This window comes from Homo sapiens, chromosome 9 (assembly GCF_000001405.40).
Source record: "Homo sapiens chromosome 9, GRCh38.p14 Primary Assembly".
NCBI lineage: Eukaryota > Metazoa > Chordata > Mammalia > Primates > Hominidae > Homo > Homo sapiens.
Window position 1 is genome coordinate 133,141,202 of NC_000009.12, and position 27,334 is coordinate 133,168,535.

The following is a 27,334-nucleotide window of genomic DNA, read 5'->3' on the forward strand; positions in this document are numbered from 1 at the left end:
CATCCCCAGAGAGAACATCTGAGGCAACCAGGTCTCATAGCCTTCCCATCCCCAAAGTCCAACCCACTGGGCAGTGTGGCCCCACCTGCCTTTTCCCACCATTCTACTGCCCCACCCTCTCCCAGGGTCTGGGGCTCCACCTCGCTCCTTCCAGGCTGGACACCCCTCATCCATGTTCTCACCTCGGCTCCCGCAGTGCCCAAGTCTGGGTGCAGGGTGGGTGCCCACAAACTAAGGCAGCCCCTATGGGAGCCCAAGGGCAGGGCTTTCTTACACCCTCACAGCAACTGCGGGGACCTCAGGGCAGACAGGGAGGCTCAGAGGGGACCTGTGCTGCTTCTAGGATGCCCAGCAATAAGCGCTGAGCTGGAATTTGGACCCAGGTGTCCTGCTCCAAAGCCACCTGCCTCACCTGAGGACCAGGGGCCTGATGGCCGAGGTGGATGCCGACATGTGAGGAGGAAGGGCAGTGGCGGCCTGGTCCTGGTCCCCTCACTCTCCTGCCCCAAGGCCCCAGTAGGTGACATAATTCACAGGGCAATGTTTATGCACTGAACGGTAAACACACAGGCAGAGGGGTAGATGGGCCACCAATGGGGAAACTGAGGCCAGCGAGAAGGGACACACTAAGGTCACATAGTCAGTCGGTATCAAAGTTGGCCCAGAACCACAGTCCCCTGTTCCAAGGGCTGTACCCAGCCCAACCACAACCTGGCATGCCATCCAGCCCCAGGCCAGGGAGCCCACGGCTGCAGGGCGGCAAAGCACACGGTACCACACGTGGTACCCCATGGCCCCACACACTCTGGCTGGCACCGAGCCATCGCTGTGCTTTCTGACCTTGCGTTTTCTGACATTCTGCCACTGTCAACTCTCACTCAGGTATCCAGGAAGCGGCCTCTGTTGCTAGGGGACTGGCTTGATGCCGGGTGGCTGGCAGAGTGGGGAGATGGGGAGGGGGGAGTGGACTGGGGTGTCCCTCAGGAAGGATCCAGGGGCAGAGTCTACTGGGTCCTGTGTCAGGGTGGAGGGCCATGAGAAGTATCTGAGGAAACTCAGCAGGTCAGGCCCCTTCCTCCCCAGGCTCTAATGAAGGTCCTGGACCCTGGTCTCTGCATTTTCTCTTTCAGCCTCAGAGTCTTCTTTTTGGGCCAGGGGTGGGTGTGCGCTGGTGGGGGTTGGAAGTGAGCCATCGGAAAGCCCATCGGAAAGCCCCAGCCCGGAGCCTTCCTGCAGGCAAGTATTTTGGGGGCCAGCAGTTGCCAAGCAACTGCTCTGGGTTGCCACGGGAACACTCCCTTTTTTCTGGGGCTTGTCATTCTTAGGGGGATGCCACAATGCTTCCCGTTCCCTTTCCTCTCCACTTCCTCACCCTGGCTTGGCTGCCCTGGGAGGGGACACTGGGAGTCCATAAGCTCACACCCCACCCCTATGGGGGGGCCCACATACCCCTGGCCCTAAGACTCTTTGAGGCTCCAGAATCAAGAACCCCCAAAATGCAAAGCCCAGAGTCCAAGGCCTTCATTAGAGCAGGGAGACGATGAAAGGGGCTCATTAGCTCTGTTTATGTCTCCTTGCCGCCATTAACCACCACTTGGGGCCTAGGGCCTCCCAGCCCCGCCCTGCCCAGCAGCCGGGCCCAGCCCTGACCGTTGGAAGGCCACTGTAATTGGAAGGAATGTGGTCCTGGTGCCTGGCCCTTCCCAGGCTTGTGTGCACACGGGGAGGCGCCATTGCCAAGCTGCCACTACCTAGCTGTGGGAGTTCCTTCCCCTTCCAGTGCCTCAGTTTCCCCACCTGGAAGTGAGGATGGCAGTGGCACTTATCTTGCAGAGTGCTGAGCAGATACAAGGGACACTTTAGCACAAGGCCTACAGGCTGGCTGTCATCACCAGGCACCTCTGCAGCAGGGGACAGAGGGAAGGACTCTGTGGAGAATAGTCCTGTGGCTAGCGTGCAATGGTGACTGACCACGCCACTGATGGCAGAGTGGCCACTGAATCCAGGTCCCCAGGCTCGCAGCCCATGCCTTCTCCACAAGATCTGTCTGCCCCATACCCCTGAGCCTTCCACAGAAGCCAGGGTGCTTCCCACAGGCCAGGCACCCAGCGCCAGCCAGGTGTACAGAGGCCAGTATCTGCTGTGTGAATCAATCGCTGAACCAACTGTCAAGGACCAGCAGCCTCAGGGGCGGGCCTGGTAGCTCGGTGAGCGAGGAGGTGGTGGGAGGGCCTTGTGCGGGTAGGGAGGTGACAGTAAGAAATGGCCTCTTGCTGGATGCAGTGTCTCAAGCCTTTAATCCTAGCAGTTTGGGAGGCCGAGGCGGGGGGAATCCCTTGAGCCCAGGTGTTTGAGACCAGCCTGGGCAACATGGTGAAACTGTTTCTACAAAAAAAATCCAAAAATTAGCTGGGAGTGTTGGCGTGCACCTGCCGCCCCAGCTACTCTGGAGGTCTGAGCCCAGGAGGTCGAGGACGCAGTGAGCCGTGATCTGGCCCCTGCACTGCAGCCTGGGCCACAGAGCAAGACCCTGTCTCAATAATAATAATAATAATAATAATAATAATAATAACAACAACAACAACAATAATAATAATAATAATAATAATAATAATAATAAAATAAAGGAATGGCTTCCACTCATTCCACTCCTGGGCCAGCGGCCCGCTGTGCACTCCGCTCCCTTTCGCTGATGCCATGTGAGCAGCTCCATGGCGGGGACCTGACCCCTGCTCCTCAGCCCCACACTGCCTCGCCCCTTTGTATATCAAAGGCGCCTCTGAGGGGCTGTGCTGACCCCCACCAGGAGCAGCAGGACCACCTCAGGCATCCCAGCTCCCCTGAGGCAGGGTCTGGGGCTGGGGTTGGGGGGAAGGACCCCTCAAGTCTCTATCTGCACAGACAGCCCACCCGTGCCCAGGGCTGCCTTCCGAGCACCCGCAGACCTGGGCCTGCAGTAACAGGAGAGCTATCTGCAAACCGCAGTGTCATCAGCCGCACGGCCTCTGGAGAGGCCTGAGAAAGGCCGGCTCAGCTTGCAGGCGAGGAACCAAACGAAAGGCAAACTCCTGGCCCCTGCAGCCTCGCAGGTCCCCTATCCCTCCTCCCTGCCTTCCTTTCCGCCCCGCTGACACCACGGTCTGCAAACCATGGTCCTCCTCGCCACCCCTGTCACCTCCTCCTCCGCCCCCCGCCGGCCTCCGACGCAAAGTCGCCACCCAGTCACCCCGCCTCGGCCCCGCCTGGTTTGATTTCCTCCCGTGTGTGTCACCCATGAGGTGGCCGTGCCCCTGGCCTGTTTACAGCTGTGCGCAAGCTCCTCGCGACCCGAAAGCGAGACCTTTGTCTGCGGCAGCTCCGCGCCGGGCTGGGCGGCCGCACGGGAGGGCACAGCGCCACCTGCTGGTGCTGCCGCCAGAGCGCGCCAAGCTGAGGAGCAGGCGGGCTCCGCTCACGCCCCCACACCCCCTGGCTGGGGGCTGGGTTCCTGCGATGTCTTCCGACTCCCCGCTGCTCCCCTAGTCCCCGTAGGCACGCGGGTACCCGGCCTTTGGGAGGGGGATCATTCCCAATACTCCTGTTACGGGTTGAACTGTGTCCCTGAACAAAAAGATCTCTGGTACCCGTGAATGAGATCTTATTTGGAAATAGGGTCTGTGCGGATAGAATCCGGATGAGGTCATACTGGATTAGGGTGGGCCTTAATCCAATGACTGCTATCCTTATGATAACAGGGAAAATTGGACAGACACGCACAGGCGGACAGACACGAACTGATGAAGGCACAGTTTGCAGTCACACGTCTACAAAACCAGGAACGAATGCCAAGGAAACTGGCAGCCACCAGAGGTTGGAAGATGCAAGGAAGTATCCTCTCCTAGAACCTTCAGAGACAGCATGGCCTTGCTGACCCCTGGATTTTGGACTTCTGGCCTTTAGAACTGTGAGAGAATACATTTCTGTTGTGTTGAGCCACCCAGCACTTTGTGACAGCAGCCCAGGAAGCTGACCCGATAGACACTGGTCCCAGTCATCACCCTCTGTGCCATCACCACACCTCCCCTCCACGAATCAACCACGACCACAGGACACCTCCTTCTGGAATCTCTCTGTGCCCACGCACTCCCCAGATGAGCACTTCCCCTTCCCCTGGCAACTCCCCGGATTCTTGTTACCCCCACCCCCCGCCCCGGCATGGCCTGGGCCCAGGAGACAGATACGAAATGAATGAGTGAATATCCACCTTTGCTACTTCGTCATATTCAGATGTTCGTAAAAATCTGTATGTTCGTCATATTCAGATGTTCGTAAAAATCAAGTGGCAGCAGTGCTGGGGGTTAAGGAAATGGGGAGAGTGATGGCAGATGTGTGAGGGGAGACAAGGGGCACTTCCAGGTACTCACAGCCACCCTGGGAGCTGGGACAGCCAACCAGTGTGTTCTCATGCTCCCAGCCCCTGAGGCTCAGAGAGGGGAAGCCATCTGGGTCACCAAGCTCCTGCCTCTTGCCAGTTCTGTGACCCCAAACTAGCCATTGTGCCTTTCAGGGCCTCCCCAGTCTCCTGACCTGCACAATGGGGATGGTTCTAACGTCTACTTCCTGGGGACATCACCACGCTAATGTGAGACAATACTACAAAACCTGTTAGCTGCCTCACAGACTTAGAGATGGAAGGATTAGGAAGGAAAAGGGCCTTCAGAGACTGCAGGGTCCTGCTGACCCCTGGATTTTGGACCTCTGGCCTTTACAACTGTGAGGAAAGAAACTTCTCACAGGGGCGAGACACAGCCCGGAATACAAGTCGGACAGGCTGGGCACTGGTGCTGTGATCTGGGGAAAGTCACTCCCTTCTTGGTCTGGTTTCCTCATTTGCACCATGAACGGGTTGAAAATGAAGCAAAAATCAGATATCGGCCCCCTGTGGCATATGGGAGCATCTTCCAATGGGAACACCTTCCAATGGCTCCCATGATGTTTGTTTGTTTGTTTGTTCGTTTGTTTATTGAGACAGGGTCTGGCTCCGTCGCCCAGGCTGGAGTGCAGTGGCATGATCTTGGCTCACTGCACTCATCACCTCCCAGGTTCAAGTGATTTTCCTGCCTCAGCCTCCGGAGTAGCTGGGATTATAGGCACCTGCCGAGACACCCAGCTAATTTTTGTATTTCTTTTTTGTAGAGACGGGGTTTCACCACGTTGGCCAGGCTGGTGTTGAACTCCTGACCTCAGGTGATCCACCCGCCTCGGCCTCCCAAAATGCTGAGATTACAGGTGTGAGCCACCGCGCCCAGCCTCCGTTATGTTTAGAATCAGGCCTGACTGCCTCCTCTCAGACACTGTCCCAGGCAGCCTCCACACTGGCCCCAGAGATCCCTGCCTCCTGGTACATAAGTTGCTGAGTGATCCCCTTCCTCCGAGGGTGATTGGATTTAGTGACTGGCTTCTCACCAACAGAACACAGCACAGGTGATGTGAGGTCACTTCCAAGATTTACAAAAAACTATGACTTCTGTCTTGCTTGTTTGCTCTTGTTTTCCTCCCCACCTTCACCCCTCACTCTGGGGAAGTGAGTTCTGATGCCGTGAGCTGCCTGCCCTACAGAGAGACCCACATGGCAGTGAACCAAGGGAGGGCCCCCACCAACAGTCACAGAAGAACTGATGCCCTCAGTCAAAACTGAATCCTGCCAATAACATGAGAATGGCCTGGGGGCGGGTCCTGCCCAGTCCAGCCATGGATGAGACCCCAGTCCCAGCCTCCCTTGAGACCTGGGGGCAGAGGCACCCAGCTGAGCTGCCCTGGATCTGGGTCCACAGAAACTGTGTGATGATCAATGTCTGTTGCTGGAAGCTGTACATTAGGGTAGTGTTGTCACATAGCTGTCCACAGGCCCCTGGGCTGCCCCTCCCACCCCCAGCTCACTTGGGCCACACTGGCCTCCTTTCTCACTCCTCTCTGGCCAAACTCATTTCTGCCTCCCAGCCCTGCCTGCTGAGCCTTCTCCATCACACTGTCCAGACTCGTGCAGGGCTGGCCCATGCTTTGTCTTCTGGTCACAGCACAGATGTCCCCTTAGCGAGACCTCTCAGATCCCCACCCAGCAGGCCCCAGCCCTCCATGGCAGCCCCGGCATTATTTTCGCTGCAGCACTGCTTTTTCCTTTCTGTGCCTGTTTGCTTTTGTGCCCTGTCCATCGCCCCCTCCAGACTGCCAGCTCTGGAGGGCAGGCCCCCCTGGGTCACTTTCAGAGCCACACCCAAGCCCAACGCTGCCCCCCCACAACCCAGGGTGAGTGCTTGGGCACACCTGCTGAAGGGAAAGAGGAAGCTCTTGGAGCCCCCTCCCGCCTCTGAGCAGCTAACATTGTGGAGAGGGATGCTAGTAATGGGGGGTGTGCATTGGGTAGAGGCCGGGGTCCCCCAGAGGGACCCTGCCGGGCTCTCCCTGACTCCAGTTGCTCCAATGAGTACAGTGGGCACTGCCTCCCCCTGGTGGCCGGCACTAGCACAGCAGCAGCAGCCTCAGGCAGAAAACCCAGAAAACAAAACACACACCTTTGTTTGGGTGTTGTCAAGGTAGCAGCTCTCCTGAGTCCCAGGGGGTCAAAGGAGCAGAACCTGCAGGCTCCAGGGGTAATTCAAGGCGCCTCAGAAGCTTCATTTGCTCCCCTCTTTCCCTCTGCTGGTCCTGGGGTGTCCAGTTCACTCGTGAGGCCTCCTCACTCCAACCAGGGCAACGGCTCTGGCCCCACTTCCAAATAAGAACCCTGAGGCTCCAACAAGGACAGTCTTGTCCCACAAGAGTTGTCCAGTGCTTGGCCACGCTCTGCACCACCCCAGGCCCTCAGCCCTTCAGCCCCCCCGGCTTCTCTTGCTCAGAAGAACCTCCAAGAAGAAGGCATTTTCCACAGACCTCGGTGGGTAGTGGGGGCATCCCCAGTGGAGACCTAAGGCCGACAGACACGTCTACGAGCCTGTGGGACCCTTGGAGTCACCCAGGCCAAACATTCCAATTTATAGAGCAGGAATTTGAGGCTTCCTTTCCTACAGCCCCGTCCACACTGAAGGGGTCTTTTCCTGCTTCCAGGTGATCACAGCGGTGAACACAGAACCCCACAATCTGTCCTCTCCAGGCTGCCCCAGCCCAGACAGATCCTGGGAACCTTGGAGAATCCCCGCCCATCAAGCTGGCGTGTCCTCCCCTTGCCCCCCACCCCGTGCCATGGCCCCAGGCATGTTGCTGGGTACTGGATGCCCCTGCCCGTGGCAGAGTAGCCCCCGCCCTCTTTCTTCTTTCCCCCAGTCACTTCCCCAGCGTCCCGTCCTACTCTGAGCCCCAGGAAGTGTGTGGTGTGTGTGTCTGCGTGTGTGTGAGCATGTATGCGCAGGCCTGCGCCTGTACGTGCGCGGAGAAGCCCAGGCAAATGAGCCCACATGGGAGATGGGCAGGGGTCCCCAGGATCTTAGAGGCTGTCATTCCCAAAGCAAACCCCACGGGAAGGGTGAGCCGAGCCCTTCCTGGCCTAAGAGGCCGGAACCCTCCCTTCATCTCTGGACTCCGCCAACTTCGTGTGCCCCGGGCGAGTCCCTGCCCCTCTCCTGTCCTCAGTTTCCCTACTGTCCCGGGCGGGGTTGGACGCGGAGCTGCGTAAGCGCACGCTCAGCGTGGACGCGGCGCCGGGCTCCCTCCCCCCGGTGGGTGTGGGCTGGGGCATACGGTCCTCCCTCCACCCGCGACGCGAGGCTGGGGACGGCGCGCACTCACCTGGCAATCTACCATCATCCTCAGCCTCGGTGGCACATCGCCGGCCCCAGGGCGGGACCCGGGGCTCGCAGAGGCCGCTCGCCTGGGCCCGCGCGCGGCGCAGGGGTGCGCCCGGCTGCGGGGCTCATGGCGCGGCCTCCGGTCCCCGCCGGGCCCAGGACTCTGCGGCCCTCGGGGCCGCCCCGGCAGCCGCCAGCGCCGCTCCCATTGTCTGCGCCGCGCCGCGCTCCGGCCGCTCGGGCCTCGCCGCTCGGTTCCGCCCCGGCTCCCCGGGCTCGGGCCCGGGTGGGCGGGGACAGCCGCGGCCCCGCCCCAGCCCGCCCGCAGGTGCGAGGGGCGCGCCCCGCCGCGTGAGCTCGGGGACGCGCTCGGGGGCGCGCTCAGGCCTCCCTCCCGCGGGCCGACGCGGGTGTTCCCCCCGCGGGGCAGCCGGGCCTGTTGTCCAAGGCCGGGCGCGCACACGGGGCCTGCGCGGGACCGCAGACAGCGCGTGCACGTCACTCCGCTTCGCCGCGCGCACGCGCCACGCTCCCAGCGCCATGTGCGGCCGATCTCACGTGTCCGTCCGCCCCAGCCGCCTGCTCAGTACTCCCCACCCCGCTAGGACCTAGGGCCAACCTCGCCCCAGCCAGGCGGGGGCCGCTGAGTCGGCGCGCCGGCGTCACCAAATATACACGTTCACCCTGGCGCCCAGCACCCCGATGCCACCTGCTGGACTCGGCTCGGCGGATGGCTGGGAGCTGGGGGACCCGAGGTGACAGCGAACTCAGCCTGGGCAGGGAGAAAGTCAGGTCTCCCCTTCCCCTCCTCTTCCCCACCTCCCTCCTTGTCTTCCCTGACAGCACCCGGGACCACAAGGTCCAGCTGCAGCTTCAGCTGGTGTAAGATGGGGCTCAAGGGAGCCTGGGGGAAGGAGGCCTCACACTGGGGTTGAGCGACTGTTGGGGGTAGTCAGTGTTATTAGGGCTAACTGATTTCGTCCCTTTTTATTTTTTATTTACTTTTGTTTTTGAGATGGAGTCTCGTTTGTTTGTTTTTTGAGACGAAGTCTCACTCTTGTCCCCCAGGCTGGAGTGCAATGGCGCGATCTCGGCTCACTGCAACCTCCACGTCCCAGGTTCAAGCAATTCTCCTGCCTCAGCCTCCTGAGTAGCTGGGATTACAGGCACCTGCCACCACGCCCGGCTAATTTTGTATTTTTAGTAGAGATGGGGTTTCACCATGTTGGCCAGGCTGGTCTCAAACTCCAGACGTCAGGTGATCCTCCCACCTTGGCCTCCCAAAGTGCTGGGATTACAGGCATGAGCCACTGCACCAGCCGCAGTCTCCTTCTTGTCGACCAGGCTGGAATGCAGTGGCTAGATCACGGCTTATTGCAACCTCTGCCTCCTGGGTTCAAGCGATTCTCCTGTCTCAGCCTCCCAAGTAGCTGGGATTACAGGTGCACGCTGCCACCACCACGCCCGACTAATTTTTGTGTTTTTAGTAGAGACAGAGTTTCACCATATTGGCCAGGCTGGTCTCGAACTTCTGACCTCAGGTGATCTGCCCTCCTCGGCCTCCCAAAGTGTTGGGATTACAGGCGTGAGCCACTTTGCCTGGCCAACCCTTTTGATTTATTTATTTATTTTATTTTTTTGAGACAGAGTCTCACTCTGTCACCCAGACTGGAGTGCAATGGCACAGTCTCAGCTCACTGCAACCTCCACCTCCCAGGTTCAAGTGATTCTCCCGTCTCAGCCTCCCGAGTAGCTGGGACTACAGGCATGTGCCATCACACCCGGCTAATTTTTGTATTTTTAGTAGAGGCGGGGTTTCACTATGTTGGCCAGGCTGGTCTGGAACTTCTGACCTCGTAATCTGCCCACCTTGGCCTCCCAAAGTGCTGGGATTACAGGCGTGAGCCACTGTGCCCGGCCTTTTTTATTTTTAAAAAAACTATGTAGAGATGAAGTCTCACTATGTTGCCCAGGCTGGTTTGGAACTCTTGGGCTCCAGAGATCCTCCTGCCTTGGCCTCCCAAAGTGCCGCAATTACAGGCGTGAGCCACTGTGCCCGGCTTCATTCAATTTTATACCAGAGCCAAGGCACCAGCACTGCAGGCCACTCAGCTGTAAGTGGCCAGGCCCTGCTGTGCGTGGTGACCCCCACTTCATGGCTCTTCCCCGTCACTCATCCCCGAGCTGGTCATCAGAGGCCTCATCCTGTGTTGGGGCCTCGCTGGCCAGGTATCCCCTGAGTCCAGCGCTTGGGCCCCATATATATTGATCCCCCTGCTGGGACAGGCCTGCGGTGACCCCTGCCTCCTAGCCTGGCATTCAGAACCCTGTGTGACCTGGTCCCTATACCCCAACTCTAGCCTCCTGGGGCCATCCTGACCCAGGGACCCCATCAAGCCCCTGCCCCTCTCAGAGCCCCCTGCCAGCACTGCCCCTCCCTGTATCCTCCTCCACAATGCACTCACCTTCAGAGCTGCACTCCTCCCACCCTGTGCAGAGCACAGTCTTGAACCCAGATGACCTGGGTTCAAACCTGCAGCTGAGCCACATCACAGGCAAGCTCATGGTGACCTCTCAGAGTCTCAGTTTCCTCTACTGAAAATGAGTCAGGGACTCCCACCCGGGAGGGTGTGCCAGGGGTAAAGCTGGGTGTAAGTGGGGTGAGGGGGGTATGGGGGACTTCTCCCCTGCTAGGTGGAGCTGCCCAGGCCTCAGAGTCTGCTGTCACCTCAGGTCCCCCATCTCCCAGCCATCCACCCAGCTGAGTCCAGCGCTCCATGGCCCTCTCTGTGCTTTCAACAGAAGCTCCTCGGAGGCAGGGCCTACTCCTTCAGCACAGAACCCCTCCCCTGGAGCAGGTGCTCCCTATGAGGGACACAGAGGCCATGGTTCCATTCCTGCCCCTCTGCCCAGGAGGCACTCAGTGCCCCTTCAAGACTCCAGGCCTCTCCAGCCCAGTCTGTCTCCTCCAACTGGTCACTCCATCTGTCCACGCTCTTCGGGTCTGTCCCTGCTCGCCAGCCAAACCACAGGTGAAGGAAGAATGAACTCAGGGCTGGCCCCAGCTTTTCCACGGGTGACCAAGTGGGTGGGTGCCTGCCCGTTCCAGTATGACCAGAGTCTACCCCACCCTCCTTTCTGTCTTCTCCTTCCATGAAAAAGATGCTGCTGTCTCCAGGGCGGTGAGCACCAGGCCGCCAAGCCCTGAACCCATACCCCACCCCATCTCTGCGTGGCCAGGCAGACAGAACCACACTGTAGGCCTCTGAAGTCCTTCTGGATCCAGACTGGAGAGGTCATCTTCCCATGCCCTCTAATCCTGGCCTGCACCATTGGCTCAGAGTCCCACGCCCACTGGTGACCTCACAGGGCTGCAGTGACCCTGGATACGGGAGCTCCCAGGGTTGTCCGGCTGCTGGGCTCCATACCCCTCTACACAGTTGGGAGTGTGGTGGCTCTGCCAGCATGCTCCACTTCACCCAGTCTCCCTGGAGAACTGGAATGAAATCCTGTCCGTTGTAGCCTCTAGCTTTAGCTCAGATTTTCTGGAGTAACTATATCCCTATTCGATTGTGTTTGACTTCCAGTCTGCCTGTGTCCCCACTGCCTGATGGAACAGACACTGGGGACACAGGCAGGCTGGATGTGCAGGTAAAAACCACCTTAGTGGCCGGGCACAGTGGCTCACACCTGTAATCCCAGCACTTTGGGAGGTCGAGGCAGGTGGATCACTTGAGGCCAGGAGTTTGAGACAAGCCTGGCCAACACGGTGAAACCCCGTCTCTACTAAAAATACAAAAATTAACTGGGTGTGGCGGGCACCTGTAATCCCAGCTACTTGGGAGTCTGAGGCAGGAGAATCGCTTGAACCTGGGAGCCAGAGGTTGCAGTGAGCCAAGATCACGCCACTGAACTCCAGCCTGGGTGACAAGAGCGAAACTCGGTCTCAAAAAAAACAAAAACAAAACAAAAAAAATCACCCTAGCTAGGGTTGAGCACACGCCCCCTTTATTATAAACTGCCCCAAACCCTCTTAAGAAGGAGGTGGCTAGTCCCCTGAGAGTGCGGCTCACTTTGGGGTGCAGGAAACCGAGGGAGCCTAGACCTGTTCCATTTCAAAGGCTCACTCTGGGGGCCTGAGTGAGGAATTGGCTACATGTGGTTGGGAGACATCAAAGGACCCAGGACCCCTGTGACCAGAGAAAAGGGGTCTAGGGCGCCTTCACACCAGGGTATTAGAAATGCTACGTTAAGGGCAATATGCAATAAACGGGGGACTGGCGCGGCAGGGTTCAGGCACTCTGAGTCGGGCTGAGGCTTCAGAGCCTGCCCCGCAAAGGCACGGCTGCAGAACGTGGCAAGCCTGCCGGGCCCTGCCTTTGTAACTGCGCCTCCCCTCCCCCTGTCTCACTGTTCCCATGCCGCGTTACTGTGAGATCCTGTGTGCTACTGTGTGCACAGCCCTCTGCAGTTCACAGTGGCCTTTCCACGTCCCTTTTCCGGTTGAATTCGCCTGACTGACAGGGAGGCGGGACAGGGCTGGTCTGCACGCTAGTGAAGCACTGGTGGCTGCAGGTCTTTGGGTCCCCATCCATGGCAACCCCCAGCTCCGTGGTCAGCTCCTCAGGCAGCTGATATCCTTGTCCAGTGTAGAAAAGCGGATCAGCTTCAGGCTGGGTGGCTGGGGCTTCCTGTCGTCCCAGAGGTACTCGGGGGACAGCACCTTGGACGGCTTGTTTGAGATGAAGTGACGGTTCAGGTGGCTTTCCTCCCGCCAGGCAGCCATGATGCCATTGGCCTTGTCCGCCAGGATGGCCATGTGGCAGCCCCTAGTAAACTCATATACCCTGGCCACCTGCCCCCCGAAGACTGCCCCACCATAATAGAAGTCCCCTTCGCTGTCTGCCACAAAGGCAGTGGAAACACGCCTGCGCTCATAGGGGAACTGCTGGCGGGGAACGGCGTAGTAGCTTGGGTGAATGGCAGCCACCAGGTCTCCCAAGGTCTCAGGGCCCCACGGGTTCCGAAACACCATGTCCACATCAAGGCAGAAGAGGTAGTCCACCTCCCGGTGAGCCCTCTTAGCAATGTGCTGGCTGATGGTCTCCATCCGGCGCATGGATGTCTCCTCCCAGTGGGAGTGACCCTGGATGGGGATGGAGCTGAGAAGCCGGTGGGGACCCAGCGGGACCCCGGGAACGGCTGCAGGGTTGTCAGTGAAGATGTAGTAGTGCACCCGGTACCCACGCATGAAGAACTCCTCGGCTGACTCCAGGAAGGACTGGATGAAATGAGTGTACCTAGTGATGATCACCCGGTCACCCACTGCTACACCAGCAGCCTGCCAGGGTCCCCACTGTGTGCTGGGGTCAGCCAGGCTGGGGTCCACTTACCAGCTCCCCATCTCAAGATGTCACTCTGCTCTGGCCCTCTGGGTCCTCATTTGTCCAATTCCCAAAATGCTAGTACCAGCCTCTTACGGCTGTTGTAAGCATGTTCCTGGTAGAGATTCTTATGCTCCTAGGCCAGGTGAACTTTTACTGAGCAATTTCTAAGTGCCCAGCGACGTTCTAAGAATTCTTATGATCTTTGATCTGCATAAGCATGCCCATTTTACAGGCAGGAACATTGAGGATCACAGAGAAGAAAGTAGTGAAGAAGCAGGTAAGTGGACGAATCAAGGGAAGGCAAGTTGAGCTAGATGCTGGGGGCATGGAGGGGGGTGTGGTTGACACAGCCCTGCCCCCAGGCCAAAACTCATTGGACAAGGGGGTCACCTGACCCTAGGTGGACCATTCATCATCTGGTCATGCTTTAGGGCCCCAGGAAGTTCCAGGAAGGAGTCCCAGAGGCCCAGAGGAAGGCTGCCAAGCGGCAGCTCCTAAAGGAAGGCCAGGTGGGGTCATGGGAGAGACAAGGGCAGAGGAGGGGTCTAGATGAAACAGGGAGGGGCAAGGGGGCCTCCTGACAAAGGCTCCTGCTGTCCCCTCACCTGGACTCTGCATCCTGTCTATGCTAGAGCCAGATCCCCTACTCCAGGAAGCTCCCATCCCACTATCACACCCTACACTGTACTTTCTATCTGCTTGGCACCTGGTTCCGAGCCTCCCGGGTGCCCAGCAGGGTCCTGTGTGCACGTCTGGTCTGGTCTCTTCCCAACTATAAACTCCTGTGGCTCAGGGAGACCTCCCTCCCCTTCCCCAGCCCACTACTCACTTCCCCACGGCAAACACCGTGACCCCAATGGTCAGGTTCAGTGGCTGGTAGATGTGCTGCAGAAGCTCTGGGTTGAAGGTTCCCTCGGAGACGATGGGCGCCAACCAGGGTGTGAGTGTCAGCAGCTGTGTGGGCCTGGCAGCAGGGGGGCCGTGGGCACTGAGACCCTCCCCTGTGAAAGCCTAAGTCTCATCCCAGCCCTGGCTCTCACACTGTGTGACCCGGGGCAGCTTCGTCCCCATCTCTGGGCCTCCCTTTCCTCATATGGAAAGTGGGGATAATGATAGCCACCTCCCAGCAGGGTTGGGAGTACCAGGAGTTAACGCACACCAAGGAGAAGCCTGGCATTATTCATATGTGCCAAGCCCCTAATAAATGAGGGTCATTAAAAAGGGCAAGACCACGTTGTTATGAACAATGGCCTGAGCACCTCCTGAGTGCAAGCACGGTGCAGATGTTACAATACCTCTCATCTGCTCCTCCAAACTCCAGTGAGCTAGGCACTACTATCCACCTGCACAGAAAAAGCTCAGAGCAGTTGGGTACGCTGCCCAGGGTCACACAGCCCAGGTCCCTGACTCCCAGCCCTGTGTCTTTCCACAGTCCCTAACTCTCTGGGCCCCAAGGCCACCCTGATGTTAGCACCTCCACTACCCCACCTTATAAATCAGAGCTCTTTTGTCCTTTTCCCCCGCCCCCATCAGGCCTCTCCATGACACCTACCTGTGCTCCAGCAGCTTGGGCTGAGGGTACTGTGACCTGCAACCAAGAAGGACCAGTGATGGAGGAGAGCCACCACCCTCACGGCCACAAAAGAGGAAATGCCAGTCTCCTTACCATACCACGGGCTGGAGTGGCTTCTCCCTCTTGTAGTGCAGCTTCATGTTGCTGGTGGCAGAGGCAAGAAAGAGCCATCATCATGGGTCTGGGGACAGAGACACTCAGCACAGGAAGAAGGAGGAGTCAGAGGCCCCTGCGGGTGGGCACCCAGGGTCCATGCAGGCTCCCTCTGACCTTCCCCCACAGCCCCACCCGACTCTACAGAGGAGCTGGGGACCCCTACAGAAGTGATCTGTCCAGGGTCACTGAGAGAGTAAGTGGCAGGGCAGTGATTCGAACCCAGTGCCGCTTGCTCCCAAGGCTGATGCTTTTCCAACCATGTCGCTCTCGTTGTCGGAAAGAAGATGTGAAAACCTGCAAAGGGCCAGGCGCGGTGGCTCACGCCTGTAATCCCAGCACTTTGGGAGGCGGAGGCGGGTGGATCACAAGGCCAGGAGTTCAAGACCAGCCTGGCCAAGATGGTGAAACCTCGTCTCTACTAAAAATACAAAAATTAGCTGGGCATGGTGGCGGGCGCCTGTAATCCCAGCTACTCGGGAGGCTGAGGCAGGAGAATTGCTTGAACCCAGGAGGCAGAGGTTGCAGTGAGCCGAGATCGCACCATTGCACTACAGCCTGTGTGACAGAGCAAGATTCCATCTCAAAAAAAAAAAGGAAGAAAAGCTGCAAAGGCCTGGTGACTGGGACCTCGGGTGAGCTAAGAGCTAATTAACCTGAGCCCACTGTAATGGTCAGTTGTAGGCAATCCTCCTGCCTTAGCCTCCTGAGTAGCTGGACCTGCCAGGCACTCATTACCACCCCCGGCTGATTTTTTAAAATTTTGTAGAGATGGGGTCTTACTATGTCGCCCAGGCTGGTCTGTGAAAGTATTTTGTAGATGTGATTAACATTCTATATCAGTTGATTTTACATAAAAGAGAGTATCCTAGACAACCTGGGTGGGACCGATCCAATTGGTTGAAAGGCCTTAAGAACAGAACTGGTGGCCAGCCCAGGTGGCTCACACCTGTAGTCCCAGCACTTTGGGGGCCCAACGCGGGCAAAGCGCTTGAGCCCAGTAGTTCAAGACCAGCCTGGGCAACATGGCAAGACCTCATCTCTACAAAAACAACAAAAATTAGCTGGGTATGGTGGTGTGCACCTGTGGTCCTGGCTACTTGGGAGGCTGAAGCAGGAGGATGGCTTGAGCCCAGGAGGTGGAGGCTGTAGTGAGCTGTAATCACACTACTGCACTCCAGCCTGGGCCACCCACAAAGTGAGACCCTGTCTCAAAAAAAAAAAAAAAAAAAAGAACTTCACCTGTGGGCTGTGGTGTCTGCTCCTATCTGAGTTTCAGCTGCTTAGCCAGCCTCACCATCACATAAGTCAATTTTCCTAGGTATGTTGGCCATCTGTCTACCTTCCTACCTCTTACTGGTTCTGTTTCTCTAGTGGAACACTGACTGCCATTTCTCTGCATCTGCAAAATGGGCAAAACCATCCTTAGCCTTAGCGATGTGGTGAGAGTTACACAAGGTGTGTGAGGGGCTCTTGACCATGTCCAGCATGGAGCAAGTGCTCAGTAAGGTGAGGGATCCTGGGCAAGTCTTGGCAGGCAGCCTCCATGGTCAGTTTCAAGGTCAAACTGGTTGGAGAAGAAAGAAGGGGGTCCATGAAGGAGGTGCCAGGGCTGTAGGGTCAGACCCCTGGGCTCACCTCTGGCTCTGCCACTAACTGGCCCAGGGACCTGGAGCCAGACAGTTGACCCTGTGAACTTTAGTTTCCTCATCCACAAAATGGGGACAATAAAACCATCCACTTAGAGTGTTTCCAGCAGGTGGAAGCGAGGTGCAGAGAAGGGAAAGACCGGCCGGGCGTGGTGGCTCATGCCTGTAATCCCAGCACTTTGGGAGGCCAAAGCGGGCAGATCACAAGGTCGAGAGATCGAGACCATCCTGGGCAACATGGTGAAACCCCATTTCTACTAAAAATACAAAAATTAGCTGGGCGTGGTGGTGGGCACCTGTAGTCCCAGCTACTTGGGAGGCTGAGGGAGGAGAATCGCTTGAACCCGGGAGGCTGAGGGTGCAGTGAGCCGAGATCCCGCCACTGCACTCCAGCCTGGCGACAGAGCAAGACTGCATCTCAAAAAAAAGGGAAAGGCCACCCAGCCAGCAGCAGCAACAAAAGGCCCGAGGCCGACTGTCCCCAGGCAGAAGCTCATAAGGATCCCACCCACTGATGACACAGTAGTCTGCCAGGTCCTTGTAAGTTTCTTTTCTTTCTTTCTTTTCTTTTTTGAGGTGGGGTCTATCTGTGTTGCCCAGGCTGGAGTGCAGTGGCACAATCTCGGCTAACTGCAGTCTTGACTGCCTGAGCTCAAGCGGTCCTCCCACACCAGCACCCTGAGGAGCTGAGACCACAGGTGCCCACCACCACACCCAGCTGTTTTTGTATTAATATTTTTTGTACAGACTGGGTTTCACCATGTTGCCCAGGCTGGTCTTGAACTCCTGAGCTCAAGTGATCTGCCTGTCTTGGCTTCCCAAAGTGCTGGGATTACAGGCATGAGCTGCCTTGCCTGGTCCCCTGTGAGTTTCAATACATCATGTATGATGGGGTGGCTGAAGCCTCCTTGAACTCTTCCACCTCTAGGCTATGCTCTTTTATTTGTGGTAAAGTATACAAAACACAAGATTTACTACTTTAGCCATCTTTAAGTGTACAATTCAGTGGCATTAGGTACATTCACATTGTCATGCAACCATCCAACATTTGTGTCCAGAACTTTTTCATCATCCCAAAAGGAAGCTCGGTCCTCATTAAACAACAGCTTGCCGTTGCCCCGCCCCCAGCCCCTGGGAACCATAATTCTACTTCTGCCTCTATGAACTTGAGTATGGAAAGTACTTCCTATAAGTGGAATAATAAAGTTTTTGTCCTTTTGTGATTAGTAGCTACTTTTTTTTTTCTTTTTTTAGATGGAGTCTCAGTAACCTTGTCATCCCAGCTGGAGTGCAGTGGTGTGATCTTGGCTCACTGTAACCTTAGCCTCCTGGGATCAAGTGATTCTCCTGCCTCAGCCTCCCAAGTAGCTGGGACTACAGGTGTGTGCCACCACACCCCGCCAATTTTTGTATTTTTATTAGAGATGGGGTTTCATCATGTTGGCCAGGCTGGTCTTGAACTCCTGAGCTCAAGTGATCCACCAGCCTCGGCCTCCCAAAGTGCTGGGATTACAGGCATAAGCCGCTACACCCAGCCAAGTTGCTACTCTTGAATCAACAATTTTTTAAAGTCAGTTCGTCAAATTGGCCCTCTGCCCTAGTTTCCTACAAGAAAGCATGTTTCAGGGCCCTGCTCAGAAAGCCCTGGGATTCCAAGAAGCGGTCAGGAGTTAGAAGGGGTACCAAACAGCCCAGCATTCTGTGCCTCCCTGGCAGCGAGCTCCTCTTTTCTCTCCACAAGCCCAGACACACTCCAGCTGCAGTGAAGAGTTACATACAAGAATACAAAAGCAGGCCGGTGTGGTGGCTCATGCCCGCAATCCCGGCAGGGGCGAGTTGGGACGACCCCTTGAGGCCAGGAGTTCCAGACCAGCCTGGGCAACATAGTGAGACCCTGTCTCTACAAACAAATAAAAAAAAATTAGCTAGGAGGTGTGGTGGTGAGTATCTGTGGTCCTAGCTACTCAGGAGGCTAAAGTGTGAGGATCACTTGAGCCCAGGAGGTCAAGGCTGTAGTGAGCTGTGATCGTGCCACTGCACTCCAGCCTGGGCAACAGAGCCAGACCTTATCTCCCTCCGCCACGCACACACACAAGATAGACAAACTGGAAAGAAAAAAAAAAGTTGTAGGTATACTTAGCCAAGAGTGATGATAGAGAACCCACAAACGGACCAAACAGAGAAGGTGGGGAAGAAGCACTTCACACAAGAAAAATTTCAATTAACGGGAAGACGTAGGGAAATGAGAGTCTCACTAGTAATAATAAAAAAAAAAAAAAATTAAGGCCAGGGGTGGTGGTTCACGCCTTTAATCCCAGCACTTTGGGAGGCCGATGAGGGGGCGAAGCCTGGCCGAAGGGGGCAAAGACCAACCTGGCCAACATGATGAAATGCTGTTTCTACTAAAAATACAAAAATTAGCGTGTGTGCCTGTAATCCCAGCTATTCAGGTGGCTGAGGCATGACAATTGCTTGAACCCGGGAGGTGGAGGTTGCAATGAGCTGAGATCACGCCACGGTACTCCAGCCTGGGTGGCAAAGCGAGACTCTGTCTCAATATAATAATAATAATAATAATAATAATAATAAATAAAATTTATACCAAAGAGGATAGCATTTTCCCTCTCCCAATCAGCAAGGTAGGTTCATTTTTGTTTTCATAACCTCTGGTATTCCCAGCAGTAGCCCAGGTGTACTACACGGTGGCTTTGCTGGGTACTGCTTGGGCAGGGCACATGAATGAGTGACTGATGTGCTGTGGTCCTTCTGGAAATAACCCAATGAGTTGGATCAGAACCTATCCACATCCTCCGGCCACTAAGGGAACATATCTGAACAAAATGATCTTTGAAATGGAGAAAGGGTTATGCTGCTCATCACAAACTAACTGAGAGCCCTGGGAAATTGGGAGCAACCTAAATCCCGAGAGCAATTGGTGGTGGGAAAGAGAGAGAGGCTCAAAAATTATGTGTCAGTCCCTGGGTGGAATAAGATGATGGTGACCGGACCGATGCAGTAGCTCATGCCTGTAATCTCAGCACTTTGGGAGGCTGAGGCAGGTGGAACACTTGAGGTCAGGAGTTTGAGACCAGCCTGGCCAACATGGTGAAACGCCATCTCAAATAAAAATACAAAAATTAGCCAGGTATGGTGGCGGGTGCCTGTAATCCCAGCTACTTGGGAGGCTGAGACAGGACAATCTCTTGAACTGGGGAGGTGGAGGTTGCTGTGAGCCAAGATCACGCCACTGCACTCCAGCCAGGGCGACAGAGTGAGACTCTGACTCAAGAAAAAAAAAAAAAAGACTCCTTAGTTGAGGAGGACTTTGGTCACATGTTCATTTGTTCCTTGAATCCATGGAACACAAAATTGAGCAACAAGGTCAAGTCCTAAAAGCACTGAACACAACCCCTGCTGGTCACCGGGAGCAACAGCAGGCTGTTTATGGGCATCTTTGCACTCTGTGTTCTCAGTGGCCAGACACAGCAAGCAAGGCTCACAGCTGTGCAACATGTGGACGGTCAGACCATGCAGGGGGCTGCAAGGATGCTGGAAGACCGAAATGGGAATTTCACTTCACGCTTGTCACAGCCCTTAAATTACATAAATACTATTGCATTTATCAGAAACATGAACTTAGGAATCAGGAACCGGCAGATGAAGTGAACTTAAATACTCTCCTGTCTCCCCAACTGTGAGCAGCCCTCAGGGCCCCCAGTTCTCCTAGCCACACCCATACTTACAAGATCTCTGGGCAGGGGAGATAATAGGGGACATAGGAGACTGGCAGCCAGTTCTCAAGATACACCCTGTGAATAAAAAAAAGAAAAAAAATCTGTTGATCCACTCTGCACCAGAGGCTGAAAACGCACCTCATGCACGTCATTGGGAGTGCAGGTCTCCCACAGTGCATTAGGAGGCCAGGTCCCCTGTCATTCTGTAGGTCTGGCTGACCTTGGAGGACAAAGCCTGCTGGTATTCCTGGCATGTGTCACAGGGCCTGCCATGCAGTCATTCATTCACCCATAGAGTCATTCATTCCTAGGGAGTGTATATTCTTGATGCCAGGCCCCCCACACAAACAGCAGGGTGAGGGGCAGCCCCAGGAGCTTCATGGAAGGACAGAAACAGAGGGTGAATTTGGGAGCGTGAACGGGGATTCCCCATCAACATTGGTTGAAGGATGATCCAGGCAGAGAAAAGAGCAAGTCAAAGGCCAGGAGGCCAGTACAAGGCAGAATTCAGAAGCCGGAGACACTAGTTGGGTCTTGTTGGGGCTGGGGTTGGAGAACAGGTGAGTCAGGAGGGGTTGGTGGGATCTGGAATCCTATGAGGAGATCAAGGTTTTGGGGTTGATCTGCAGAGACAGGGGGAGTCCTGGGTGGGGATAGAGACAGGGAGAGTCCTGGGTGGGGATAGAGACAGGGGAAGTCCTGGGTGGGGATAGAGACAGGGGGAGTCCTGGGTGGGGATAGAGACAGGGGGAGTCCTGGGTGGGGATAGAGACAGGGGGAGTCCTGGGTGGGGATAGAGACAGGGGGAGTCCTGGGTGGGGATAGAGACAGGGGGAGTCCTGGGTGGGGATAGAGACAGGGGGAGCTCCGTGGGGCAGACTCACCACAGGACACTGAGGCTTGTGCCCGCCAACAGGCAGAACCCCAGACCCAGGGCCAGTCTCCGGCGATGCATTGCTGGGGGCTGCACCTGAGCCTGGGCACTTGTAGAGACCCCCACTGGCCTGGGCGGATGAGGCTGTCCCCTCGCAGGGATGTCAGGCTCTGAGCCTGGTCTCTGAGGTCCCAGGAACACCTGCAAAGGAACACTTTTGTTGTTTTGAGATAGAGTTTCACTCTTGTCAACTGGGCTGGAGTGCAGTGGCGCAATCTCCATTCACTGCAACCTCTTCTCTTGGGTTCAAGCGATTCTCTTGTCTCAGCCTCCTGAGTAGCTGGGATTACAGGCACAAGCCACCATGCCCAGCTAATTTTTGTATTTTTAGTAGAGAAGAGGTTTCTCCATGTTGGTCAGGCTGGTGTCCTGACCTCAGGTGATCCACCCGCCTCGGCCTCCCAAAGTGCTGGGATGACAGGCTTGAGCCACTGCACCGGGCCAGGAATGCTCTTTATGGGGAGACGGTGACCCCAGCCCTGCAGCCCTGCCCTCCCTCGGTCACCCACTGCGGTCATGTGGACTCTAGGTCCCGCTGGACCCCGGGCTCAGCTCTGGCAGCTCTGGGAGGCGCACGGTGGCAGTGGCTCGGTGCTCAGCTGTTGCTTCCAGCTGTCCTTTGGGAGAGGGGCTGGGACCGACTTCGCAGAGGCCGCGAAGGCGGATCCCTGCCTTGGCTCCCGCGTCTCCGTACTAGGTCCATTGTCAGAGGTGAGCCGAGGCCGCCGGGAGGGGTGCATGGGCCAGTCCACCGTCCGCTGGAAATCAAGCACCGAGGCACAGCGAGGACACATGCAGTCCCAGCGCAGGATGCGCGGGAAGGGGCGCCCAGGATTCCCCGAGGGGAGCGAGGTGGCCGCTGTCCACCTCTCCGGGAGGCAGGGCCCGGGTTCTCCACGGAACGATGGGAACGCGCCTCAACTCGCTGGCTCGTTGACCTTGGGCCAGTCATCCCCTGCTCCCGGCCTCAGTGGATGGGGGGCGGCACGCGGCGCCCGGGGGGAGGACACGCGGGAACGGCTGTAAAACGCTGGGCGCAGCCCGGGCCACAGTGAGCGGAGAGCCGGGGTCCTGGGGATTAGGCCGCTGCCACTCGGGAGTGTCCGGCAAGCCCTCTCCCTCTCTCTTCCTCTGGGGCCTCAGTTTCCCCACTCGGGCCTCCAAGCCCCGTCTCGCCCCCGCCTCCCGCGAACGCAGAGCCCAGCCCCGAGCGCCGCCGGCCCCAGTCCGTGGTCGGGACCCGGGACCCTGGGTCCGAGATGCGCACCTCCTGGGCTCAGGGCCCTCCTCCTTGGCCCCTTGCGTGGCAGGGACTGGGTGGGGCCAAGGGAGCGCGACTGTCCCTACGGGGTGCAGACTTACTCCTTGCTGCCGGCCCGGCGTTAGGACGGTTGGAGGGGCGCCACCCCGGCGCGGAAAACGGACTCAGCTGGCCTGGGCCCCCGCGATACCCGGGCGATCGGCGGCGCAGGTGGAGCCTGGAGCAGGGCAGGCAGCGGGGCCGCGGGCCAGACAGAAAAGAGGAAGACAGACAGGAAAGAGGACAGAAAAGAGAAGCCAGACGGGAAAGAGGGCGCCGCAGCCCCGCCCACCTACCGCAGGCCCCGCCCCTGCGGTCCCAGAGCCCCTTCCCTGCGGCCTGGGAGCAGGATCCCGGGGGACCGAGCGCCTGAGCTGACCCCTGGGCCTGGCTTCCGCTAGCCGCCTAGAACTCTGCCTAGGATGCAGCAGGCCCAGCTCGGGGGGCCGAGAACCGCAGGTCCGGGGCCATGGTAGGGTGCGGGTGGAGAAATGAAGCGATTTGTGGGGAAAACCTTACCTTGTTTATAAGAGCTTTGAAGCAGTCACGGAAAGGGAGAACCAGCTGGACGCAGCTTGCTGTCCGGTTTAGGATCTGTCCTCCTTTGCTGGGGGCCTCTGAGCCAGGCGCCCCTACCCAGCGAGGGGACACAAGTGAGTGGCTCCCAGAATTACCCGGAGCCTCCGTGTTCTCTTCTGTGAAATGGGACTGGCCACACTTTCTTCCCACGGCCTGTCGGGGTTGCATTATCCCTTCCACGAAGGGCTACTCTTTTCCACCCCAGGGACTCTGGGACCCCAGGAGAGACCCTCTTGCAGCTCACCAGAGGTCCGCCAGTGCATGGGGTAGAAAGTTTTCGTAGCAGAAACCTCTCCTAGGAAGGGTGCGAGAGGGGAGGGACAGTAAGGCGAAATGAAGGGGCCCTAAGGGAAAATAAAAGAGAGAGTGACCCAAGGGGTGGGGGGTGGGACCCAGCCAGAGACGGGCTCAGAGAGGTTATGGGTGTGCTCCAGGTCACAGTGCAGCTGGAAGTTGGAAACCCAGCCCTGCCTGGTGCCTGGGCACAGCCTCCCAGGCCCCTCAGGGGTGTGATGATTACCTGTGTCCTTGGGGTTTCTCTAGAGCACCTTGGGGTTCCTGTAAGGCAGGGCCTGTTTTCTCAGTCTGCAGGAGCCTGGCACCGGCCCTGGGAGCTGGTGAGTGCTGTTCAAAAGGTCATGCTTCCACCTTTTCGCTGCAAACACTAGCTCCCTGGGACCTGGTCTGGGATCTGCTGATTCATTTTCCTTACTCAGTTTATGTTTGCAAAGTTCCCTGGTCTGCCTTCCAGACACTGATGCCTCTCTGGGAATTGTTTTCTAATACAGCTTTAAGGTGAGCAAGACAGGGCCGACCTAGCCCTATGGCTGTGCCTACTGGCTGCAGCCCTCCCTTGGCCCATCCAGCAGTCTCTCCATCCCTCCCCGCTGCACCCCCAGAGGAGAAAAAATGTGGCCTAAAGACAGCACTGGCCTGGAGGGGGCTGGGTGCAAAGGTGAAGAAAGACAAGAGAGACCTCCGTGACTTAAAAATATAATAATCAAAGGCAAGGGAGGTAAAAGGAAGATGGGAGAAGACACTGTAGGTGGATGTGGGCATCTTTCTCATCCGGGAGTTAAGTGGGCTGAAATAGGAATGTAGGCAGAGACTTGCAGTGTTCAAGGGAACCAGAAAGAACAAATCCAAGCCAGGCAGAGTGGGAGAAGAGCAGTGGGGAGAAGAGTCACTGCTAGCCTTCCAGTTCTGTCTCTCTCTGTCTCTGTTTTTCTGTCTGTCTCTCTCTATATGACTTAAAGAAAACTCTTATTAAATATTACTTAAGGCCGAGCATGGTGACTCAAGCCTGTAATCCCAGCACTTTGGGAGGCTAGGGTGAGAGGATCACGTGAGCCCAGGAGTTCAAGAGCAGCCTGGGTAACATAGCAAGCTATGAGGCTGGAGCAAGGGTGCCAGAGTGAGACTATGTCTCAAAAATAAGTAAATAAATAAAATTTATGTTTTACTTAATTTTTTTTTAATGGAGTCTCGCTCTGTCACCTGGGCTGGAGTGCAGTGGCGTGATCTTTTGAGATGGAGTCTTGCTCTGTCGCCCAGGCTGGACTGCAGTGGCACAATCTCGGCTCACTGCCTCCCAGTTCAACCTCTGCCTCCCAGTTCAAGCAATTCTCCTGCCTCAGCCTCCTGAGTAGCTGGGATTACAACATCTGGCTGATTTTTATATATTTTTAAGTAGAGACGGGGTTTCACCATGTTGGCGAGGCTGGTCTCGAACTCCTGACCTCAGGTGATCCACCCACCTCGGCCTCCCAAAGTGCTGGGATTACAGGTGTGAGCCACCGTGCCTGGCCTTACTTAACTATCTTTTGAGGAGGTGGTGGGCCACTGAAGCTGGGACCCAGATCGGCGCTTCCACTGCTAGCTGTGGGTGAGATGCTGTCCCTGCTTTTGCGCTGTGAGCTCTCAGGACAGGGATGGTGTCTGGGGTTCACTGTCATATTCCAGGTGTCTGCACACAACAGGGGTGCTGGATGCATGAATGAGTGAAGGAATGAATGAAACCAAGACTTCTTTGTGTCTCAGGTTCCTCCTCTGTCAAATAAGAGTACCTGCTTCAAGGGGCTGTTGGGAGGATGACACTGATTCATTCATCTATTTATTCAATAAATGTGAAGTGCCTCCTGTGCCTGAGGCTCTGTTCTAGAGGCTAAGAACACACGGTGAACAAGCACGTTCCCCGCCGGTGTGGAGCCCCCCCCACCCCGAGCAGGGTTTAAATGAGGAAAGACGGGTCTCAGGCACGTGGTCCAAGCTCAGCGAGGGCAGCGGCTGGGATCGGGAGGTCAGAGGGCAGCGGCTGGGATCGGGAGGTCACGGGCAAGTTCTTGTGCAGCAGCTCAGGGCCAGCCTGGGTGGGGTCGGCGGTGGAGGGGATGTAGGACTCTTGGTCCGAACTCCCAGGCTATCCAGTGTCCCTCTGTGACCATTCCCCTCACTGGGCCTCAGCTTTTCATCTGGAAAATGGGCTTGTGAGGACTCATCTCTCGGTTTCTCCATAAATTGGTCTTGATCTTCTGAAGCTGACAAAGAAGTGACCTGTCTTCCCACTGGTAATCCTGGAGGGCTGAGGTTTGCATTCATGAAGGGAATGGGGAAATGTCCTCTCGTAGGGGGCTGGCTAAAGTCCCCCTTCTGGTTAGCGGCAGAGCTGGGCTGAGACCCCTTGGCTCAGACAAGAGAGACCTCCATGACTTAAAAATATAATAATCAAAGGCAAGGGAGGCCCTTGGGCTCCCCACCATGCACAGACCCTCTGTAATTGATCCCCGGCTGGGCCTTACCTCTGGGATGCCAGAGAATGCTCCAGAGTGTTTCCCAGAAATAAGGGAGTTCATGGTCAAGTCTGGGAACTCAGGTGAGCAGGGGTGGCAGAACCCCCCAGACCTTTAATCTCTAAGGAGAGGTGGGGAGAGTCTGCAGAGCTTCCCTGGCCGTGGAGCTGGGGTGGAGGGACTGGGTGGGGTGGAGGCAGGCCCCATGGCCCCCCGTGTGGGCCTCACTCTCCTCACTTTAGGAGAAGCTTCTGTCTGGAACAAGAGCCAGTGCTCTCCTGAGTGGCCATCAGGCATCTCTGCAAAGCTCAGTTTGGACCCAGACATTGATTTTGGCTCCCCTTGGCCTTGGAACCTGGGGGTGGGCAGCAGCAGGAGGGTCCTGAGGACAGACCCCAAGTCTCAGCTCATCACCCAAGCTTCTGCCCCTGCTTTGCTGGCTGATCTTGGACAAAGCCTCAGTTTTTCCCACTATGCATTGCAGTGACAGCTTCCTTTAGTGCTTGTCAAGCTGGGCCTCTCAGAGGCCTAGGAATGGGGTGTCGGGGAGGAGGCTCCTGAAGTGTGTCTGTGTGTCTGGGTTGGGGGTAGGGAGTCCAGACCTCATCCCAGCTCCACCCTGAGCAGCTCTGTCCTGGGTTTGATACATTGGGGTTCTACATCTGTATTATCAGAACAATGTATCACTGCCCCAAAAAGGTGGGGTTTAAAGACTACAGGGCTGGGTGGACTCTGGGCCAGCCCTACTCCTCTGGGGCTCCCTTCACTGTGTTCCTCTTTGACCTGGTGTTTCAGGAGGACAAGTGCGTTCACATCCATACAGTTGGCCCACCCAGAACCCAGCGGCATCCAGGAGCCAGTCTCTGATCCAAGCCCATCATCCTGCACTAGCTAAGGCCTGGCCTGGATACAAGCAGAACCCACTGCACCCTGTCCCAGGGAAGCCAGTCCAAGCACTAACTGAAACCAGCCAGCTAGGCCCGGAGGAGGGATCCCAGGGCTGGTTCCTGGGCCCCCAGCACCTGGGAGAGGAGCTTCTTGGCTGTGCTGGAAGCCATACCTAGACCTTGACCCCAGGGATGCCCAGAAGAACACATGTTCAGCAGGCTCCCCTGAGAGCAGAAGGGGCCACGCTTCAGAAATGGTGGAAAGATGAAAATCCAGCCTCCGCCTGCATCAGGACAATGAAATAAGATAATGAGTTAGATAGCATATCTCACCTATGAAGTGTGCAGCCATTTCCCCCAAAGGTCCTTGAGTGGAAAACACACACATACACACACACACACACTCTCTCTCTCTCTCTCTCTCTCTCTCTCTCTCTCTCTCTCTCAAAGGGCTTTTTCTCTTCCCTCATTCAACAGTCAACACAGAAGACTTCTGTGGTCCAGCGTGTGGGGGTTTCCCACACACCAGGCAACAGACACCAGGAGGTAGCATCAGATCCCCCGGGTTGAGATCTCAGTCCCACAAGAC

At 56.7% G+C, this 27,334-nt stretch overlaps 2 protein-coding genes across 6 annotated transcripts in view, besides 14 other annotated features; both read right to left on the bottom strand.

The window, feature by feature from the left end:
- The window catches only part of RALGDS (ral guanine nucleotide dissociation stimulator), a 51,489-nt gene extending 43,480 nt beyond the window's left edge, over positions 1 to 8,009 (bottom strand). The window contains exon 1 of the mRNA NM_001042368.3: positions 7,762 to 8,009. Within this exon, the coding sequence (NP_001035827.1) occupies positions 7,762 to 7,779 (18 nt within the window). The 5' untranslated portion in view covers positions 7,780 to 8,009. The remainder of the gene's footprint in view (positions 1 to 7,761) is intronic.
- Positions 1,108 to 1,387: an enhancer, noted in NCBI's record as "active region_29230". NCBI's record gives its function as "activates an Ori minimal core promoter by ATAC-STARR-seq in GM12878 lymphoblastoid cells {active_cell/tissue: GM12878}" and the evidence as "EXISTENCE:reporter gene assay evidence [ECO:0000049][PMID:35858748]".
- Positions 1,438 to 1,487: an enhancer, noted in NCBI's record as "active region_29231". NCBI's record gives its function as "activates an Ori minimal core promoter by ATAC-STARR-seq in GM12878 lymphoblastoid cells {active_cell/tissue: GM12878}" and the evidence as "EXISTENCE:reporter gene assay evidence [ECO:0000049][PMID:35858748]".
- Positions 1,887 to 2,016: an enhancer, noted in NCBI's record as "active region_29232". NCBI's record gives its function as "activates an Ori minimal core promoter by ATAC-STARR-seq in GM12878 lymphoblastoid cells {active_cell/tissue: GM12878}" and the evidence as "EXISTENCE:reporter gene assay evidence [ECO:0000049][PMID:35858748]".
- Positions 2,067 to 2,156: an enhancer, noted in NCBI's record as "active region_29233". NCBI's record gives its function as "activates an Ori minimal core promoter by ATAC-STARR-seq in GM12878 lymphoblastoid cells {active_cell/tissue: GM12878}" and the evidence as "EXISTENCE:reporter gene assay evidence [ECO:0000049][PMID:35858748]".
- Positions 2,609 to 3,168: an enhancer, noted in NCBI's record as "H3K27ac-H3K4me1 hESC enhancer chr9:136019197-136019756 (GRCh37/hg19 assembly coordinates)". NCBI's record gives its function as "activates a minimal SCP1, AML or CMV promoter by ChIP-STARR-seq in naive H9 embryonic stem cells {active_cell/tissue: H9 hESC(naive)}" and the evidence as "EXISTENCE:reporter gene assay evidence [ECO:0000049][PMID:30033119]".
- Positions 3,315 to 3,414: a silencer, noted in NCBI's record as "silent region_20446". NCBI's record gives its function as "represses an Ori minimal core promoter by ATAC-STARR-seq in GM12878 lymphoblastoid cells {active_cell/tissue: GM12878}" and the evidence as "EXISTENCE:reporter gene assay evidence [ECO:0000049][PMID:35858748]".
- Positions 3,445 to 3,564: a silencer, noted in NCBI's record as "silent region_20447". NCBI's record gives its function as "represses an Ori minimal core promoter by ATAC-STARR-seq in GM12878 lymphoblastoid cells {active_cell/tissue: GM12878}" and the evidence as "EXISTENCE:reporter gene assay evidence [ECO:0000049][PMID:35858748]".
- Positions 7,649 to 8,296: an enhancer, noted in NCBI's record as "H3K27ac-H3K4me1 hESC enhancer chr9:136024237-136024884 (GRCh37/hg19 assembly coordinates)". NCBI's record gives its function as "activates a minimal SCP1, AML or CMV promoter by ChIP-STARR-seq in naive H9 embryonic stem cells {active_cell/tissue: H9 hESC(naive)}" and the evidence as "EXISTENCE:reporter gene assay evidence [ECO:0000049][PMID:30033119]".
- Positions 7,649 to 8,335: a biological region, named in NCBI's record as "H3K27ac-H3K4me1 hESC enhancer GRCh37_chr9:136024237-136024884".
- Positions 7,706 to 7,795: a silencer, noted in NCBI's record as "silent region_20448". NCBI's record gives its function as "represses an Ori minimal core promoter by ATAC-STARR-seq in GM12878 lymphoblastoid cells {active_cell/tissue: GM12878}" and the evidence as "EXISTENCE:reporter gene assay evidence [ECO:0000049][PMID:35858748]".
- Positions 7,826 to 8,335: a silencer, noted in NCBI's record as "silent region_20449". NCBI's record gives its function as "represses an Ori minimal core promoter by ATAC-STARR-seq in GM12878 lymphoblastoid cells {active_cell/tissue: GM12878}" and the evidence as "EXISTENCE:reporter gene assay evidence [ECO:0000049][PMID:35858748]".
- Positions 11,747 to 22,713, bottom strand: GBGT1 (globoside alpha-1,3-N-acetylgalactosaminyltransferase 1 (FORS blood group)). 5 transcript variants are annotated; one of them, NM_001282629.2, is made up of 7 exons: positions 22,553 to 22,713; positions 21,141 to 21,331; positions 20,266 to 20,331; positions 14,814 to 14,864; positions 14,700 to 14,735; positions 13,977 to 14,111; positions 11,747 to 13,041 (listed from the first exon to the last, which is right to left on the bottom strand). In NM_001282629.2, exons 2-7 carry the CDS (start codon positions 21,209 to 21,211, stop codon positions 12,516 to 12,518), a joined length of 885 nt encoding a protein of 294 aa, NP_001269558.1. In that variant the 5' UTR covers positions 21,212 to 21,331; positions 22,553 to 22,713; the 3' UTR covers positions 11,747 to 12,515. The 5 variants fall into 5 exon arrangements, with proteins under 5 accessions (NP_001269558.1, NP_068836.2, NP_001275502.1 ...); NM_021996.6 differs by having other exon boundaries at positions 11,747 to 13,060; NM_001288573.2 differs by having other exon boundaries at positions 11,747 to 13,060; positions 13,977 to 14,148.
- Positions 22,167 to 22,889: an enhancer, noted in NCBI's record as "H3K27ac-H3K4me1 hESC enhancer chr9:136038755-136039477 (GRCh37/hg19 assembly coordinates)". NCBI's record gives its function as "activates a minimal SCP1, AML or CMV promoter by ChIP-STARR-seq in primed H9 embryonic stem cells {active_cell/tissue: H9 hESC(primed)}" and the evidence as "EXISTENCE:reporter gene assay evidence [ECO:0000049][PMID:30033119]".
- Positions 22,167 to 22,908: a biological region, named in NCBI's record as "H3K27ac-H3K4me1 hESC enhancer GRCh37_chr9:136038755-136039477".
- Positions 22,679 to 22,908: a silencer, noted in NCBI's record as "silent region_20450". NCBI's record gives its function as "represses an Ori minimal core promoter by ATAC-STARR-seq in GM12878 lymphoblastoid cells {active_cell/tissue: GM12878}" and the evidence as "EXISTENCE:reporter gene assay evidence [ECO:0000049][PMID:35858748]".